Source organism: Homo sapiens, chromosome 1, assembly GCF_000001405.40.
Source record: "Homo sapiens chromosome 1, GRCh38.p14 Primary Assembly".
In the NCBI taxonomy this organism is placed as follows: Eukaryota; Metazoa; Chordata; class Mammalia; order Primates; family Hominidae; genus Homo; species Homo sapiens.
Genome location: NC_000001.11, coordinates 7,782,348 through 7,799,239, shown reverse-complemented (window position 1 = coordinate 7,799,239; position 16,892 = coordinate 7,782,348). Strand labels below are relative to the sequence as shown.

The 16,892-nt window shown below is 45.6% G+C and overlaps 1 protein-coding gene across 47 annotated transcripts in view, besides 1 other annotated feature; it reads right to left on the bottom strand.

Annotated features, from left to right (window-relative positions):
* The window catches only part of PER3 (period circadian regulator 3), a 60,887-nt gene extending 45,938 nt beyond the window's left edge, over positions 1–14,949 (bottom strand). For 8 of the 47 annotated variants that reach the window (NM_001438701.1, NM_001377275.1, NM_001438702.1 and 5 more), the window contains exons 1-7: positions 14,864–14,949; positions 14,235–14,586; positions 13,654–13,799; positions 12,404–12,519; positions 10,994–11,195; positions 5,232–5,283; positions 567–715 (exon numbers count right to left, since the gene is read on the bottom strand). In NM_001438701.1, the coding sequence (NP_001425630.1) occupies positions 567–715; positions 5,232–5,283; positions 10,994–11,195; positions 12,404–12,519; positions 13,654–13,799; positions 14,235–14,362 (793 nt within the window). In that variant the 5' untranslated portion in view covers positions 14,363–14,586; positions 14,864–14,949. Of the gene's footprint in view, positions 1–566; positions 780–5,231; positions 5,284–10,993; positions 11,196–11,993; positions 12,043–12,403; positions 12,520–13,653; positions 13,800–13,993; positions 14,136–14,234 lie in introns of those variants that run through there. The other 39 variants (XM_047433436.1, NM_001289861.2, XM_047433443.1 and 36 more) reach the window with 17 other exon arrangements.
* Positions 14,874–15,483: a silencer, noted in NCBI's record as "silent region_187". NCBI's record gives its function as "represses an Ori minimal core promoter by ATAC-STARR-seq in GM12878 lymphoblastoid cells {active_cell/tissue: GM12878}" and the evidence as "EXISTENCE:reporter gene assay evidence [ECO:0000049][PMID:35858748]".

Here is a 16,892-nt window from a genome sequence, read left to right as displayed (position 1 = left end):
CCATAAGCCCTGTGGTTTTTATTGTGTGACTGTTGCATAGGATGGTAATTTGCAGGAAAGCATATGTCATTTTACATCTGAACTGACTTTTCAGTAATACATGGAAGCTGCCTATGTATTGATATATGCATTTAGAAATATAGTTCTGCTCGTACAAGATAAAATATACATTTTACTCAGGGAGTTTCAGAAGACTTCAAAAACATAAAATCACTCTTGTGGCCTCTCTGGGAAACAATTTCAGCACTCTTATTTCACACAACACAAGCAAAAGGCCACACTGAATGGGTCACCAGCAGAGAGAGGACTAGAAAACCGTATCTGTCACCAAGTCCTGTGCTGAGACCATTCGTTCAGCCATGCTGACCATGAAGACAATGACTGTACAAGAAGCTAAAAGTCAGTAAACAGAGACATCAATGAAAACCAGCTTCAAATGCCTGAAGAGTTTAAGGGTCAAATTGGAGACCCAAGAGCTCTTTTTGTTGTTCTATGACTGACGTAAACAGACTTTCCCATGTTCCTATCTGATTGCTGACATTTCTGCATCTTATCTACTGACTTACCTTCATAACCAGAGTGAATCTTTTCAACCACAGTGAGACAGCAAGGTTCCGATTCCAATTCTGGCTGGGCAGGGTGATGTACATGAATCAGATAGGGGATGATCCGGAATGGGGAGTGACACTTCTCTTGCTTTCTGTCTTCACCTCCACTGAGGAGATTAAAGATATTAGTGCTGGTCCTGACGCACCCTACTGGCCCATGGCGAAACAAGGCTGGGAGAAATATTTTATTGGTAATTTCCAAGACAGACATACCCACATCTAAAATGTTTAAACATGTTTGTTTTCAAAAGAAAGAATATGTTAGCTTAAATTTTCGCTATTATTCAACGAGTAAGAGGTTGTGTAAAGAACTGGCTTAGATTACTGTGAGTGTAAAAACAGAATTAGTGGTTCCATGACTTTTCTCCTGGCCTCCATGTGATGCATTCCCAGTTTGACTTTTCCCCTTCTGCTGTGAAGAGGGACAAGCATAACTGTCTCATTTCACATATCTACAACAGGTGTCACAAGAGAGAAAACAGGGTCCCCTGCAATCATGCCCCGGGGCTAGTTCTCAGTCGTCCCTTTCTACACTCTCTAAGAACCAATTTCGTCTCCAGCTTCAGTGATGAGGGCCCTTGCATGAGGTCAGGTGCTCCATCTATAAAGGCATCTGGCTGAGGAGGAAAGAAAAAGTTGAGGCTAAAACCGAGTTCAGCAAGCCCTGTCCCTGGCCCAGAGGGCGCACCCCTTTCCACTCCTCACAAAGAACCTCTCGGCAGGGGAGGCTCTGATTGATGACTTCAAATATCATCACCCGGTGTTACCACTGCAGCTGCCCAGCGGATGCTTCTACTGGGAGATGCCACTTCACCTAGAAGTCAAAAAGCCCAAGACTGAATTCACACTCCCCAACTTTTACCAATCATCCATTTACTCTCTCGCCAGCACGTAAAGGTGTGACTACCAATCCTGAGGGGCTCTTTAGTACTGCCAGAGATTCTCTAGTCTGTTCCTACTTCCACCTCACTTTTTTTTCTTTTTTTTTTTTTTTTAAAGACGGAGTCTCGCTCTGTTGCCCAGGCTGGAGTGCGATGGCACAATCTTGGCTCACTGCAACCTCCACCTCCTGGGTGCAAGCTGATTCTCCTGCCTCAGCCTCCCGAGTAGCTGGGATTACAGGTGCGTGCCACCACGCCCAGATGATTTTTGTATTTTTAGTAGAGATGGGGTTTCACCATGTTCGTCAGGCTGGTCTCAAACTCCTGACCTCAGGTGATCAGCCCACCTTGGCCTCCCAAAGTACTGGGATTACAGGCGTGAGCCACTGCGCCCAGCCCCACCTTGCTCTTTCTCTTCTACCACACACTACAGAATCTTCTCCCACTCTGCACCCTCAACTGATGACCTTGCTTCCCATTTCACCAAGAAAAGAGAATCACCGGGAAGTGAGCTGTGTCCCGGTGCTGCCGACCCACATCCATGCTCACATCCATGCTCACACCTTCCAGCTTCCCTCCACATCCACGAATGCATTTTCCAGGCTCATCCAGTCCAAAGGTTTTAAATGCCATTTACACGCTGATGACCCAAATATCTACCTCTAGCCTAAAAGTTTTCCTTAACTCCAGACTCTCATAGAGTCTCAACTTGGATATTCAACAGGTATCACAAACTTAACTTATCTAAAACTAAGCACCACATTCTTTCTCTCCACCTCCAGGAAGTTGATTTTCCTAGAATTTCGTCTGCCTCAAAAAATGATAACTCCAGCCCAAAACTCCTGGTATTATCCTTGACTCTTACTTCACACTCACTCCAAATATAACCCATTAATAAATTCTGGTAATTTGTTCTCTAAAAATATCCAGAATATCGCTTCTTGGCCTTTTGGCTAAGATCAAGTGTAAAAAATATCCAGAATATACAAATATTTATACCTCCCCCCGGAACGCTGGCCTATAGCCTGTACCTCTGTAACAGCCTCTAACTGCCCTCCCTGCCTCCCTTCTTCCCCCTCCAAAGTATCTTCAACACTGCAGCCAACACCAGTCTTTCATATTGGAAACTGTTTCCGGGCCAGGCATGGTGGCTCACGCCTGTAATCCCAACACTTTGGGAGGCCGAGGAGGTTGGATCACTTGAGGCCAGGAGTTCGAGACCAGCCTGGCCAACATGGAGAAACCCCGTCTCTACAAAAAATATAAAAATTAGCTGTGGCGGTGCATGCCTGTAGTCCCAGCTACTTGGGAGGCTGAGGTGGGAGAATTGTTGGAACCCAGGAGGCAGAGATTGCAGTGAGCCGAGATCGTGCCACTGCACTCCAGCTTGGGGGACACAGTGAGATCCTGTCTCAAAAAAAAAAAAAAAAAGGAAACTGAAATGAACGTTTCCTACCTCTGTTCACTGAAAATTTCTAGATGCAATGATAACCCTGTAGCAATAACCATCCCTACCATCCAGATTTGGCCTCCAAATGTGAATGCCATTTCCCACCAAAAGGAACCAGGGATCCTTAGAGAAATGGCTGATGCCAAGTCTGGGCTAAGGAATGTCTAAAATGGGTCTGGGGTGTCTCATGCTTAAAACAATGGAAGCTGTCAAAGACCATGGGGCACTCTCACAAGGGTACAGGGGCCAACCCAAAGGGATTCCTACTGGCCAAAGATGGGACCATTTTGAACCCCACAAACGTGAATGAGAACTTCCTCTCTTAGAATGACATTCTGAAATACTGATGCAGGAAATCAGACGAGATCTGAGCTACGCTGTCTGGTAACCTGGGAAGAGGGGGTTAAAGAACTGCTGCTGGCAGAGATGACGCCAGACTGGCCAGGGTTCGAGTTCTTAAAAAGCTGGGTGATGACACCGCAGCAGTTCATTACATTATCTTCTCTTCTTTTGTGTTATGTTTGAAAATTCCCAAAGTAAAACGTTTTGAAAATAAGCAAGTGATAAACTGAAATAAAACACTTCGTGCAGAAGTCACTGCTCCCTGTGGTGTGGCCCGTGCTTTCCCGTCTTCTTCCATCCTCGTTCCTTCCTCCACTCAGGCCACAGCAGCTCCGTGTCACTCCTCCCACAGGCCAGGCATGGCCCACCCCAGGGCCTCTGCGCCTGCTGCTCCCTCTGCCTGGAACACACTTTCTCAGACACTTGCCACCCCTCAGATACCGGTGTGGCTCACCCCCTGCCCTCCTTCTGGTCGCTGTTTCCAATTAGACTTCCTAAGAGTTCCTGGATCACCCTGAATACAACGGCAATCTCCCGCTTCCCAGAACTCCCGCTCCTTGCTTTACTGTCTACACACAACTTATCACCAGCCAACACAGGCATTTGAATATGTGTTTATTATTGGTCTCCTCCTCACAGAATTTAAGGTACGTGAGGCAAGAACTGTTTGAATCCCAGCACTGACAAAGTGCCTGGCTCAGAGAAAGCACCCCAAAATATTAATTAACATCAGAAACACATACAGCACTTATTAGGAGGCAGGAACTGTTCTAAGATCTTCATACAACTCACTTGTGAATGACCCACTGGAACAAGACAGCCCCTCCCACCGCTGTGCCCTTTCTCAGGCCGTCCCCCCCAAGCATCCAGAGCCTATGAGCTCAAGTCCCCCAGTTCCATGGAGTACTGGAATATTAGACTATTTCATCATGAGGGTTTTTCTTCTCTCTAAACATCTTGAGCATTTAGTAACTTCAATACTAAAACTGGCAATCACAATGTCATTTCAAAATATTTGTTCTTATTACAAAAGAACATATTATTATATCATCTTATATACATAATATATAACATAACAGAATATATAATTATATATTATGTATATAACATAAAAGGAACACTAATAATATATTGCAGCAAATTTAGAAGATAAAAAATTCAGTAGTAATTCCTACCAGCAATCAACTACTGTTAAAATTTTCATCTGTTTTCTTCTGGTTCACTGTCTCTAGATCTTTTAAATCCTTCTCACAAATATAAATCTCTTGCTTTCTTTAAAGCTATTAAAAATTTCAAAAATTAATTTTAAATGTGACTGAAAAACAAAAAGCTAAACAAAAAAGAGCCCAAAACAATGGTCATTTTAAAGTGTACTTCACATCTAGTGATTCTTATACACTCCTAGAGTTAAGAATTATTTTTCTAGACTTTTTTCCTATCGCATTATTATTTATTTTTATTTTTTTTGAGACAGAGTCTCGCTCTGTTGCCAGGCTGGAGTGCAATGGCGCCATCTCAGCTCACTGCAACCTCCACCTCCCAGGTTCAAGCTATTCTCCTGCCTCAGCCTCCCGAGTAGCTGGGACTACAGGCGTGCACTACCACGTCTAATTAATTTTTGTATTTTTAGTAGAAACGCCGTTTCACCATGTTGGCCAGGATGTTCTCGACCCCTTGACCTTGTGATCCGCCCGCCTCCGCCTCTGCCTCTCAAAGTGCTAGGATTACAGGTGTGAGCCACTGTGCCCAGCCTCCTATTGCATTATTATCTAGTTTTCTCATGAGTATGTCTCTTCTCAATCAAAATACGAACTCCTTGTGGCAATAACCAAGTCTTATTTTTTGTATCTCGCAACAGAAGTGAGCTGAATACACAAGAATCAAACCAACTGCAAAATAAACTCAGAACATAATCCACTGTTGCTGGCTTCCACGAGCCACTATACTTACCGGATCCTGCAGAAAAAAGGTTTCACCGGAGCACATTCATACCGTGCAGCTGCTAGAAAGAAAGATGCCTGGTCAGTCACTCCCTCTTATCCAGGTCTTTCTCAGTGAAACAATGTTGCACCATTATCAAACAACAAACTATTTTTTAAAAGAGAGAGAGGTCTCCTTGATTAAAATAGAACCCCCTTCCTTCATTTTGAGATCCAGTCACAATACTAGAATTGGGAAATACTAGTATTGGTTTTGGTACTGGAACCGTGAACCTCAGGTATAACAGTGAGAATCGGCTTTATCTCTTCCCCTTACTACTTTTCATAGTTCCCAAACTGCCCATGTTCATCATCTCAAAGGTCAATGTAATGATCCTTGGACACAATTATTCTGGTGGTAATATTCCATCCCATTGTAATAGTCTGGACCTTTCTAAAAAGTTGGGAATTCAGACTATTTTCAGCTTCTTAGCTATACGATATATAATTTTCTTTTTTTCTTTAAGCTCTTTCTTTGGATAAATTTCAAAAAGTTGTGTTCCTAGGTTAAATGATAGAATCGTTTTATGACTTTATTGTGTATGGATAAACCTCCAGAAAACTGTACCAATCTTCAGAGTTTTATTAATGTTTTCTCACAACCCTCATGCCAATGATTTGCTAGCAATTCCATTGATTTCTGCACCCATTTTATTGATTTATGAGGTGATAATTCAGAAATGTCTAAATTTGCCTTAGGAGATGAGGGGACTGAAATTTCTGCCCAGTGTTTGTTGACTATATGTATTTCCTCTGATTAGAGCTTCCTGAATATCTTTTGGGCATTTGTTCACTGAAACAAGAAGTCTTCAGTTATAGGAACCATGGAAAACTGTGAGATGTTCAAAAAATATACACTGAAGGTAGCATAAACAGTGAAAATCCAAAACAACCAAAATATTGAATAAGCAGCCCAGGTCTTGATACTTCTAAGAGACGATCACAGAAGAGTCAGAAAGCATTAATAAAGCACTGAAGATTGGTATAATCTTCTACAGAAAACGGCCTCTACTGTGAGGTCAGTTTGCTTATACCATTTATTCATCACACCAGACACATGAACTCCAACTGCACTCACTAGAAGTCCTGGACCACTGAAAGCTAGACTACGTGATCTAAGACAGCAGACGTGCACCCACAATGCATTTCCATTCCTAGGCTGTAAATATGTGATGCTTGTTTCTAAAAGCGTACTCTGAAGAAGTAATGGTCAGATCCTTCTAAGAGGTTTGTACAAGACATGTTAAATAGAAACATATTCTAATACAGGACCAGAGGTTGACAACAGCTGAGTGGATTGCTTCCTAAGTCCTCTTGATGTTCTATGTGCTCAAAGTAAGGAATCGAAGGGGGTAACGCAGGCATAGCCTATAAAGGGGGTGGCATTAACCAACTGCTCTCAGTATCAATCCTTGAGATTCATAAGGCAAAAGTACAATATAAAGAGTAAACTAGAATTATATCGTGCCTTATGGCATAAGTGAATTTTGAGATCCAAAAGAATTATTTCAGGGCATATTAAGATTTTACATAAAAGGTGATATGGTTTGGCTGTGTCCCCACCCAAATCTCATCTTGAATTGTAGTTCCCATAATCCCCACATGTCAAGGGAGGGACCTGGTGGGAGGTAACTGAATCATGGGGGTGGTTGCCGTCATCCCGTTCTCGTGATAGTGAGTTCTCATGAGAGCTCATGGTTTTATAAGAGGCTTTTCCCCCTTTTGCTTGGCGCTTCTCCTTGCTGTTGCCACGTGAAGGACATGTCCCCGTCTGCCATGATTGTTAAGTTTCCTGAGGCCTCCCCAGCCATGCTGAACTGAGTCAATTAAAACTCTTTCCTTTAGAAATTACCCAGTCTTGGGTATGTCTTTATTAGCAGCATGAGAATGGACTAATACAGTAAACTTGTACTGCAAAGAGTGGGGTGCTGCCATAGATACCCAAAAATGTGGAAGTGACTTTGGAACTGGGTAACAGGCAGACACTGGAACAGTTTGGAGGGCTTAGAAGAAGACAAGAAAATGTGGGAAAGTCTGGAACTTCCTAGAGACTTGTTGAATGGCTTTGACCAAAATGCTGATAGTGATATGGACAATGAAGTGCAGGCTGAGGTGGTCTCAGAGAGAGATGAGGAACTTGTTGGGACTGGAGTAAAGGACACTTCTGCTATGCAAAGAGACTGGCAACTTTTGCTCCTGGCCTAGAGATCTGTGGAACTTTGAACTTGAGAGAGATGATTTAGGTATCTGACGGAAGAAATTTCTAAACAGCAAAGCATTAAAGAGGAAGCAGAGCATAACAACTTGGAAAATTTGTAGCCTGAAGATGCAATGGAAAAGAAAAACCCATTTTCTGGGGAGAAATTCAAGCCTGCTACAGAAATTTGCAGAAGTAACAAGAAGCCAAATGTTAATCACCAAGACAATGGGGAAAATGTCTTCAGGGCATGTCAGAGACTTCACAGCAACCCCTCCCATCACAGGCTGAGGCCTACGAGAGAAAAAATGGTTTTCTGGGCCTGTCCAGGCCCCCACTGCTCTGTGCAGCCTTGGGACATGATGCCCTCCATTCCAGCTGCTTCACCTCCAGCCATGGCTAAAAGGGACCAAGGTACAGCTCAGGCCATAGCTTCAGAGGGTGCAAGCCCTATTCCTTGGCAGCTTCCATATGGTGTTGGTCCTGCAGGTGTGCAGAAGACAAGAACTGAGGTTTGGAAACCTCTGCCTAGATTTCAGAGGATGTACGGAAATGCCTGGATGTCCAGGCAGAAGTTTGCTACAGGGGCGGAGCCCTCATAGAGAACCTCTGCTAAGAGAGATGTGTAAGGGAAATTTGGGTTCGGAGCCCACACAGTCTTCACTGGGGCACTGCCTAGTGGAGCTGTGAGAAGAGGGCCACCATCCTCCAGACCTAAGAATGGTAGATCCACCAAAAGCTTGCACTGTGAGCCCAGAAAAGCCACAGACACTCAATGCCAGCCCATGAAACCAGCCATAAGGGAGGCTGTACCCTGCAAAGCCACAAGGGCAGAGCTGCCCAAGGCTGTAGGAGCCCACCTCTTGCACCAGCATGACCTGGATGTGAGACATGGAGTCAAAGGAGATTATTTTGGAGCTTTAATATTTAATTATTGCTTCAGTGGATTTCAGACTTGCAAGGGGCCTGTAGCCCCTTTGTTTTGGCCAATTTCTCCCATTTGAAATGGGTGTATTTACCCAATGCTTGTACGTCTATTGTACCTAGGAGATAACTAACTTGCTTTGGATTTTACAGGCTCATAGGTGAAAGGGACTTGCTTTGTCACATATGAGACTTTGGACTTGGACTTTTGGTCTAATGCTGGAATGAGCTAAGACTTTGGGGGACTGTTGGAAAAGCATGATTGCATTTTGAAATGTGAGGACGTGAGATTTGGGAGGGCTTAAGAGCAGAATGATATGGTTTGGCTGTATCCCCACCCAAATCTCATCTTGAATTATAGTTCCCATAATCCCCATGTGTGGTGGGAGGAACCCGGAGGGAGGTAATTGAATCATGGGGGCAGTTTCCCCCATGCTGTTCTCATGATAGTAAGTTCTCAAGAGATCTGATGGCTTTATAAAGGGCTTCCTCCTTCACTCGGCTCCCATTCTTCTCCTTCCTGCCATCATGTGTAGAAAGACATGTTTGCTTCCCCTTCTGCCATGATTGTAAGTTTCCTGAGGCCTCCCCAGTCATGTGGAACTGTGAGTCAATTAAACTTCTTTCCTTTATTAATTACCCAGTCTCAGATAGTTCTTTATAGCAGCGTAAGAATGGACTAATACAGAAGGGAAATATCGCAGTAATCAGTAATCAGCAAAAATGAAAAGGCTGAAAAGCCACAGGCAGTGCTGAAGGAAAAATACCTGGGGAAAAAATGGGAAAGACCTGGCAGACAATATTGTGTATGTCCTGTTCACAGCTGTATCTGTATCCGGACTAGTTCTTGACCCACGTGATTATTAAATAAATGTTTACGGAATGAACAGCTAACAAAAGCAGAGAAACAAATACAGACAAAGGTTGAAAATGTGTATTTAGGAAAGGGGATGAGAAATAAAATCAGTATTTTTGAAAGATGGGAAAAGAGATGAGCTAGAAGCAAGCAGGGATGACATGCATGTTTTCTAGAGCTTATGTAAAAATATTTTTAAAAGATGGGGCAATCTATAATTGGAAGAAGAAACACGCAAAGCTACCCTTCATTAAATTAACTACTGGGTAAAAAATTAGAAATAGTAGATAGAATTTCAGATATAAAGATGAAAAAGTTATGGAGATCTGTTTCACAACAATGTAAACATCCTTCACAGCAATGGAGTGAATGCCTAAAAATGATTAAGATGGTGTATTAGGTCCGTTTGCATGCTGCTGATAAAGACAGACCCAAGATTGGGCAATTTACAAAAGAAAGAGGTTTAACGGACTTACAGTTCCACGTGGCTGAGGAAGCCTCACAATCACGGCAGAAGGCAAGGAGGGGCAAGTTACATCTTACATGGACGGCAGCAGGCAAAGAGAGAGAGCTTGTGCAGAGAAACTCCCATTTTTAAAGCAATCAGATCTCATGAGACTTATCCACTATCACGAGAACAGCATGGGAAAGACGCCCTCATGATGCAATTATCTCCCACTGGGTTCCTCCCACGACACATGGGAATTGTGGGAGTTACAATTCAACATGAGATTTGGGTGGGGACACAGCCAAACTATATCAGATAGTAAACTGTATGTGTTTTTTACTACAATGAATTTTTTTTTTAATTAGAGAGAAGGGCTTGGAATCAAAGAGAACGCTGATATATATATATATATATTTTAAAGCTCTTTAAGAGACACTTCACAAAGAATATAAAATAATGAAGGATGACTAAAAAGAAATAAATTAAGATCACACAGGACTGAATGTCACAAAGAAAACTGCAATAGGCATCTTTGAATTATGAAAGAAAAGCATTCCAGAAGGAAAACAAAGTAATAAGACTCATAAGTTTCAGGGGCAAGAAAAACTGTAAGAGAGCTAATGATCTGAATTTTTTTTTTTTTTTTTCCCCAGAAACAGTTTCACGCTTGTCGCCCAGGCTGGAGTGCAATGGTGTGATCTTGGCTCACTGCAACCTCTGTCTCCCGGGTTCAAGTGCTTCTCGTGCCTCAACCTCCTGAGTAGCTGGGATTACAGGCATGCACTACCATGCCTGACTAATTTTTGTACTTTTAGTACAGATGGGGTTTTACCATGTTGGCCAGGCTGGTCTGGAACTCCTGACCTCAGGTGATCCACCTGCCTCAACCTCCCAAAGTGCTGGGATTACAGGCGTGAGCCACCTTGCCCAGCCTAATGATCCAAATTTTATCTCCAAAGTAAAATTTCTCATACAAGGAAATCATGAAGGAGGAAAAACATTTAATTTTAACTTAAAGGAAACAGAGCCTTCATAGCAACTAAACCACTATACAATACGCTGGTAATGAAATAATATTTATGACATATCATCTGTGAAACAGATGTGACAAAATGGAAACAAACGTATTGAGTATGTTATCAGAAGCTTTTAAAATGCTGTTTTCATCACGTGACTTTCTATAACAGGAATAAGAAAAACCAGATAGTGTGCATGTTCTAAATAATATGTTAATTTCTGTACTATTCCTGTAAGAATGAAACTGATCTTGATGAGGAAAGATAGACATCTGAACATTGGTCCTGTTACCTCTTTGGGTCCAGTTGTTCCAGAAAGGAAGCTGAGCTCTGGCAGTGTGCGCGTAGAATACCCTCATGTCTTGAGGTGCAAGCAGGTCAACAAAGTGAGAAGACGCCAGGACATCTTTCTTACGATTCAGGATCAAAGCAGCCTGTTCAGAAATGTGCACTAACCTTCCAGACAGAAATGAAAATACTGCCACAAAGGTATCCTATGAAAAACATTTAAAATAAATGCAAATATTGAGATACTCACTAGCAATATTCCCTGAAAGGTAAATTTCTTCTGGATCTCTAACATGACCAGTATCTTAAAATACACAGGCACAACCTACAAATGCAACAAAACTCCTCAAATAATTTTCTCCAACATGCTTCTTAAATCTTCTCCTAAGACCTGCACTTCACCTACTGAAGGTTCAATTTCTATGCCAAAAAATATACTAGCTTATTCTATGCAGACTAAAATACGTATGGCACATAACTTCTCTGCAAACTGTGCCATACACCTGGGTGGACGGTGTTCTCGTCATCAACGCAGATTCTATGCTTTAAGACACACTGAAGATTCACCTTCTTCAAGAAGCTGTCCTTGACAAACCTCATTACATAAGCATCACTGCTCTAATTTTTTCCATTACACATAAATGAAACTTATTTATAATCAGCAGTTTGTGTTTGCTAGCATTGGCATACTTTCCTCTCTAGCTTTATTTTAAATATCTTAAAAGACAAATATTTTCTTAAGCTATTTTTAAAAATCTCCATAGCACCTCCTACAGTACTATGTACACACCAGTCCATAAAATAAGCACTGTTATAATACTAGGGATTGCGCACGTTCCACTATTACAAAATCTTTAAGTAACAATTATGTTACTTAAAATAAGTAATCTCCACCGTATCAACCAAACATGAAGATTACTCTGTCAAACAAGAAGAGAGATTAAAAAAGATATACTAAAGGTCTCTTCCAAAATTTTAGGAAAAATGACAGCATCTCAACTCACCTGTTCTATAACATCCAGTTGTTACAACTTGAAGTAGTAGGTATTGGAACTAAGAATGATATAAATAGAAATTAACAATTCGGAGATTAGAATAAGGTGCAGGAAATTACTCTGCAGTGTAATTTTTGTTTTCTCTTAATTCAAGAGAGCTTGGGAATGCTAAGGAGCTAGAAGCACCTCATAACCAAAGTCACTGAGCTGCACAGCACACAGAACGGGCTGCTTCTGCTTTTAGATGTTTTCTCTGGCAAGGGCGGAGAAGCTACACCATGCCTCTTTAGCAGTTCCTCCTTTGCTTCTCTCAAATTGTGGTTGCTGAAACGTTGTTATCCTTCTTAAAAGCCTACATCTAGAGCAGGCCCTTAGGAAAAGTCACCCAGGTTGATATGGCAAAATGCATGAATTCTTACTGTGTTTTTGGAAGTGTGTTCTGAAGCGATAGTGGCCAGCTCCTCAAGACTGTACATGCTCACATCTGCCTGAGGTGCTCCATTCTGACTGAGAATCTGGAAAAACTCACTGTTTGCTAAGAAACACAGGGAGATAAACAGGTAGTCCAGTGACAACAGTATCTTTAGGAAACCATTTCATCACTATCAAGCTGGATTATTTTTTTCGGATGAGAACACCTCAGTGCATTTTTCTCAAAAACAGATCATTTTCTGCTTTTACCTAAAATACTGATAGTTGTGCAAACTTAAGATTTGATTTTATGAATTCTGCATGTTCTGGATCACAGGAAGCAAGATACATTTAAGGTACTAACTAAAAATTTCAGATGCATACACAATTTTTTTGCGGGGGGAGCAGAAACAGTACTCTGTCATTCAGGAACATATCATATATGAAGCACTGAGGTTTGTGCTAAAGAGAATATGGCTTTAATGAAATCCCTGGAAATGTCAGAGAGAAAAAGTGTTTACAATGGTTCATTTTTAGTTTGGTAAATTCCTGATATATCATTACTGCATTTTTATCATTATTATTTTTTAGAGACAGAGTCTCGCTCTGTCACCCAGGCGGGAGTGCAGTGGCGTGATCTCGGCTCACTGCAAGCTCCGCCTCCCGGGTTCACGCCGTTCTCCTGTCTCAGCCTCCCGAATAGCTGGACTACAGGCGCCCGCCACCACACCCGGCTAATTTTTTGTATTTTTAGTAGAGACGGGGTTTCACCGTATTAGCCAGGATGGTCTCGATCTCCTGACCTCGTGATCTGCCCGCCTCGGCCTCCCAAAGTGCTGGGATTACAGGCGTGAGGCACCGCGCCCAGCCTCATTACTGCATTTTGAAAGTATGTGTACGGCATGTAAAGGTAACTATTTCGTGGAATGCATTTTTTTCCCATAACTTCCATAGAAGACAATATTTCTTTAAAAGGTCAGCCTTCAAAATGTGCTTATGCTAAACTCTACTCTCTTGCAACACATGAGCAAAACATTGCATAGGTATTATACACTATTATACAGATAAAGTTTTCCTGGTCTTTCACATGTGAACAATTAAGACACGAATGGAATCGGTGTAGATTTGCTCATCTTCCACAAAGCACCAGAAAAAGCTCAAATTATTTGTCTGACTGAGACCCCACTGACCACTCCTCTGGCTGCTTGTATGAGTCCTGGTGCATTCGTAGGATGAAATTTCTCTCCGGCTTGTTTACCTTGAACGCTGTGGACACAGCGGAGAGCATAGTTGAGGGCATCTAGAGTGCTTGGTTTATTGCGTCTCTCCGAGGGGAAGTATTTTTTCATTTCTTGGACAACCATGATAAGTTCTTCAGAAACTCTGTTTCGATCTTGCTGTTCACTGGAAGATAAAAAAAAATTACAACTTCATCCTCTGAAGACAACAGCATCTTGCGGCTTAGGGAACACAAACTGCAAGCCAGGTAAGTTTCTAAGTGCTCTACCGGCATCAGTCCACAGGGTGGTGACCCCTCTTCCTCTAGGTGGGGAACTCGAGGCAAAGCAACTGGTGAATGACAAACATTCTCCACTTACTTTCCCTTAATCCACTTGAGCCCCAACTCAGCTAACTTTTGTAACCACTTTTCCCTCCTGATACTCTTCGGTAATTTTCTTCAGTGTCACGGATCACTTCATCCTACATTGCCCGAGTCTCCCCTTTACACTTTCCCCTGGGCTTGAAAACAAAAGAATAAAAAGATTTAGGTCCCCCTTTCCCTGCTCCAGGGAAGGACAACGAACGCATGGGGCCCTCGGCCTGAAGCCAGCGCGTCACCTGTGGCTGCTGTCCGCCAATTTCCTCTGCAGATGGAACTCGGGGCTCCACCGCTCCCCCGATTCTTCGCCCAGGGCCTCGTCCTTAGCCCCCCGTCTCCCGGGGCCAGGAGCTTCCCCGCGGGGCATCTCGAGGTCTCCGCGGGGCTCCACGTCGTGCTGGGACGGCCCGCAGCCTGCTTCTCGCTCACTTTGCAGTCAGTGACAGACACCGGTTTCTCACTCCGGTCCCCGCCATGGCGTTAGTGAGAACAGGCGGCCACCACGAGCCAGGGGGTCACGCTCATCTCCGAGGAGCTTTTCCCTCCAACATTTTCAAAACCCGGAGCTCGCTCGACTTTCAGGACTCCGGCCTAGGGGGAGGAGACAAGGGTGACAAGGGACAAATGGAACAGACAGTCCGACGCCAGCGGCCCGGCTGGCTGGGGCGCCCCGACCGCGCGGTCCTCACCCCTGCCCCAACTTTCCCGCGCGCCGAGGGATGGGGCCCGGGGAGGCGGGTGGCTCGGAAGCGCCACGCTCCGGGGGCCCCCAGTACCGAGGGCAGGGCTCGCGGGGCTCCTCTGCCGCGCGCGAGTGCCCAGAACTCCCGCCCGGCCGCCCAGAACTCCCGCCCGGCCGCGCACTCACCTGCTGCCCCCGCCCTTGGCCCCGCGCACAGCCGCTCGCCCCCGGGGCCGCCCTCGCGCAGTCTCGAGGCTCGCCGCGTGCCGGTCAGCAGCCGGCGCCGCGCCCCCTGCCGCCGCGTGACCGGTCCCGCCCCCGGGCCGTGCGATTGGTCGTCGGGGCCGACTCCGCAGGCCTCCATTGGCCCTGGGGCGGGGCGCGAGCCGGTGCGCCCGGGTTATATAAGCCAGGGCGAGGGGGCGGGGCCCCCGGGGCGCGTTACATAACGCGCGGGCTCGGGCGGAGGCCGGCGCTCGGCCAATCCCAGCAGGCCGGCGGGCGGGCAGGGGACGGGGTGGCCCTCAGCGGCCTCAGGCCTGTGCCGCGCGACTGGAGTGTCCGGCCCCCTGGCACGGCGCCGGGGCGGAGCCGCTGAAGCCAGCGCAGAAATGATAGGGCCAGGAAGCTGCCAGCCACGTGGGGGCGGGACCCGGGCTCTGTGGGGCGGGGCGGGTCCGGCCCAACCTCCACGTGAGAGGCGGGCGGGGAAGGAGAGGGGAGTGAGAGGCGGGGGCAGAGAGGGGCGAGAGGCGGAGTCGGGGGGCTTGAGTCGGGGTCAGGGGGAGGCTGGAAATGGGGACGGATGGGGGCGAGAGGCGGGGACGGGGGGGCGGATGGGAGCGGGGGTGCCGAGAGACGTGGGGAGCGAGAGGCAGGGGCGGGGGGGCGACGGTGTCGAGGGCGGGGGCATTAGAGGGAGGGAGAGGCGGGGACTGGGGGCGAGCAGGGGCGGCTCAGGCCAGCGCTCTGGGGTCGAGTCCTGGAGTTTGTAGGTGGCTCCCGGCTGCCCGAGCGGGTGTGGGGAGGAGCCCAGGGTGGGGCGGGCTGCCGGCAGCGGTCCTCATCGTGCTTTGGCCGTCTTTCTGGGTTCCCACGGTTTTCACCGCCCGTGACCTACCGAGCCCACCCCAACCGCCCCCATCCTCCGCTAACTCTTTCGGTGAGTGGGGTGGACTTGGAGGAACCGGGCCATAAAGCAGCCCTGGTAAAAAGCCCACCCGATTTTTAGAAACAGATTTTTTATTTTTTGAGACAGGGTTTTGCTCTGTTGTCCAGGCTGGATGGAGTGCAGTGGCGCGATTTTGGCTCACTGCAACCTCCGTCTTCTGGGCTCAAGCCAGTTTCCTGCTTCAGCCTCCCGAGTAGCTGGAACTACAGGTGCAGCCACCACACCTGGCTAATTTTTGTGTTTTTGGTAAAGATGGTCTGTGTTAGCCAGGCTGTTCTCAAACTCCTAAGCCCCAGTGATCTGCTGGCCTCGGTCTCCCAAAATGTTGGGATTACTGGCGTGAGCCACTGCACCGGCCCAGAAACAGAATTTTGACGGTGGAACTTAAAACACTTCCCTGCACTTCCTAAAATTAGATTCATTTGGCAACTGGAGGAAGACAAACGTAAAAGACACTCTGTTTCAGAAAAGAAGTTGTAGAGCCCTTTAAAAAAAATGTCTGAAAGCTCAGTTTAGTATCTCAACATGTTAGAAATGAAAGGTACAGTGCAGAGTGCCGCCCCTCTTCGCTGCCTGGTACAGAAAAAATATTCAGTATTTGTTGGATGGATGAAATTGTATGTAAAGGAAGAGGGGAAAAGTGAGGTGAGTGTTCATGTTAGGTATTGAATAAACCACCTTATATCTTCCAAGCGATACTCTAGGTTGGCTTGCTCTCCTCCGAAGCTGGGTTTTGTCAAACTGCATTCGTTCAGCAAGCATTTATTGCGTGCAGATCTGGGTAGGGACGCTTGGAATCCCAGCGGATAGAACAGTGGCCCAAAGTCCCTGCCACCCAGGGAGTTGACGTTTTATTGAGAAAGCCATACAAACAACCCCATAAACAAGTTCATAAAGCCTAAAGCGATGTGTAGAAAACAAACTACTGGAAGGAAGAGTAACTGGGAGAAAGGTGGAGTGGGGAGGCCAGAGCCTGCTTAGTCAGATCAGCAGGGCAGGCCTCTGGGAAGGCGGATTTCAACCTGAGATGAGAGGCGCCTGCCG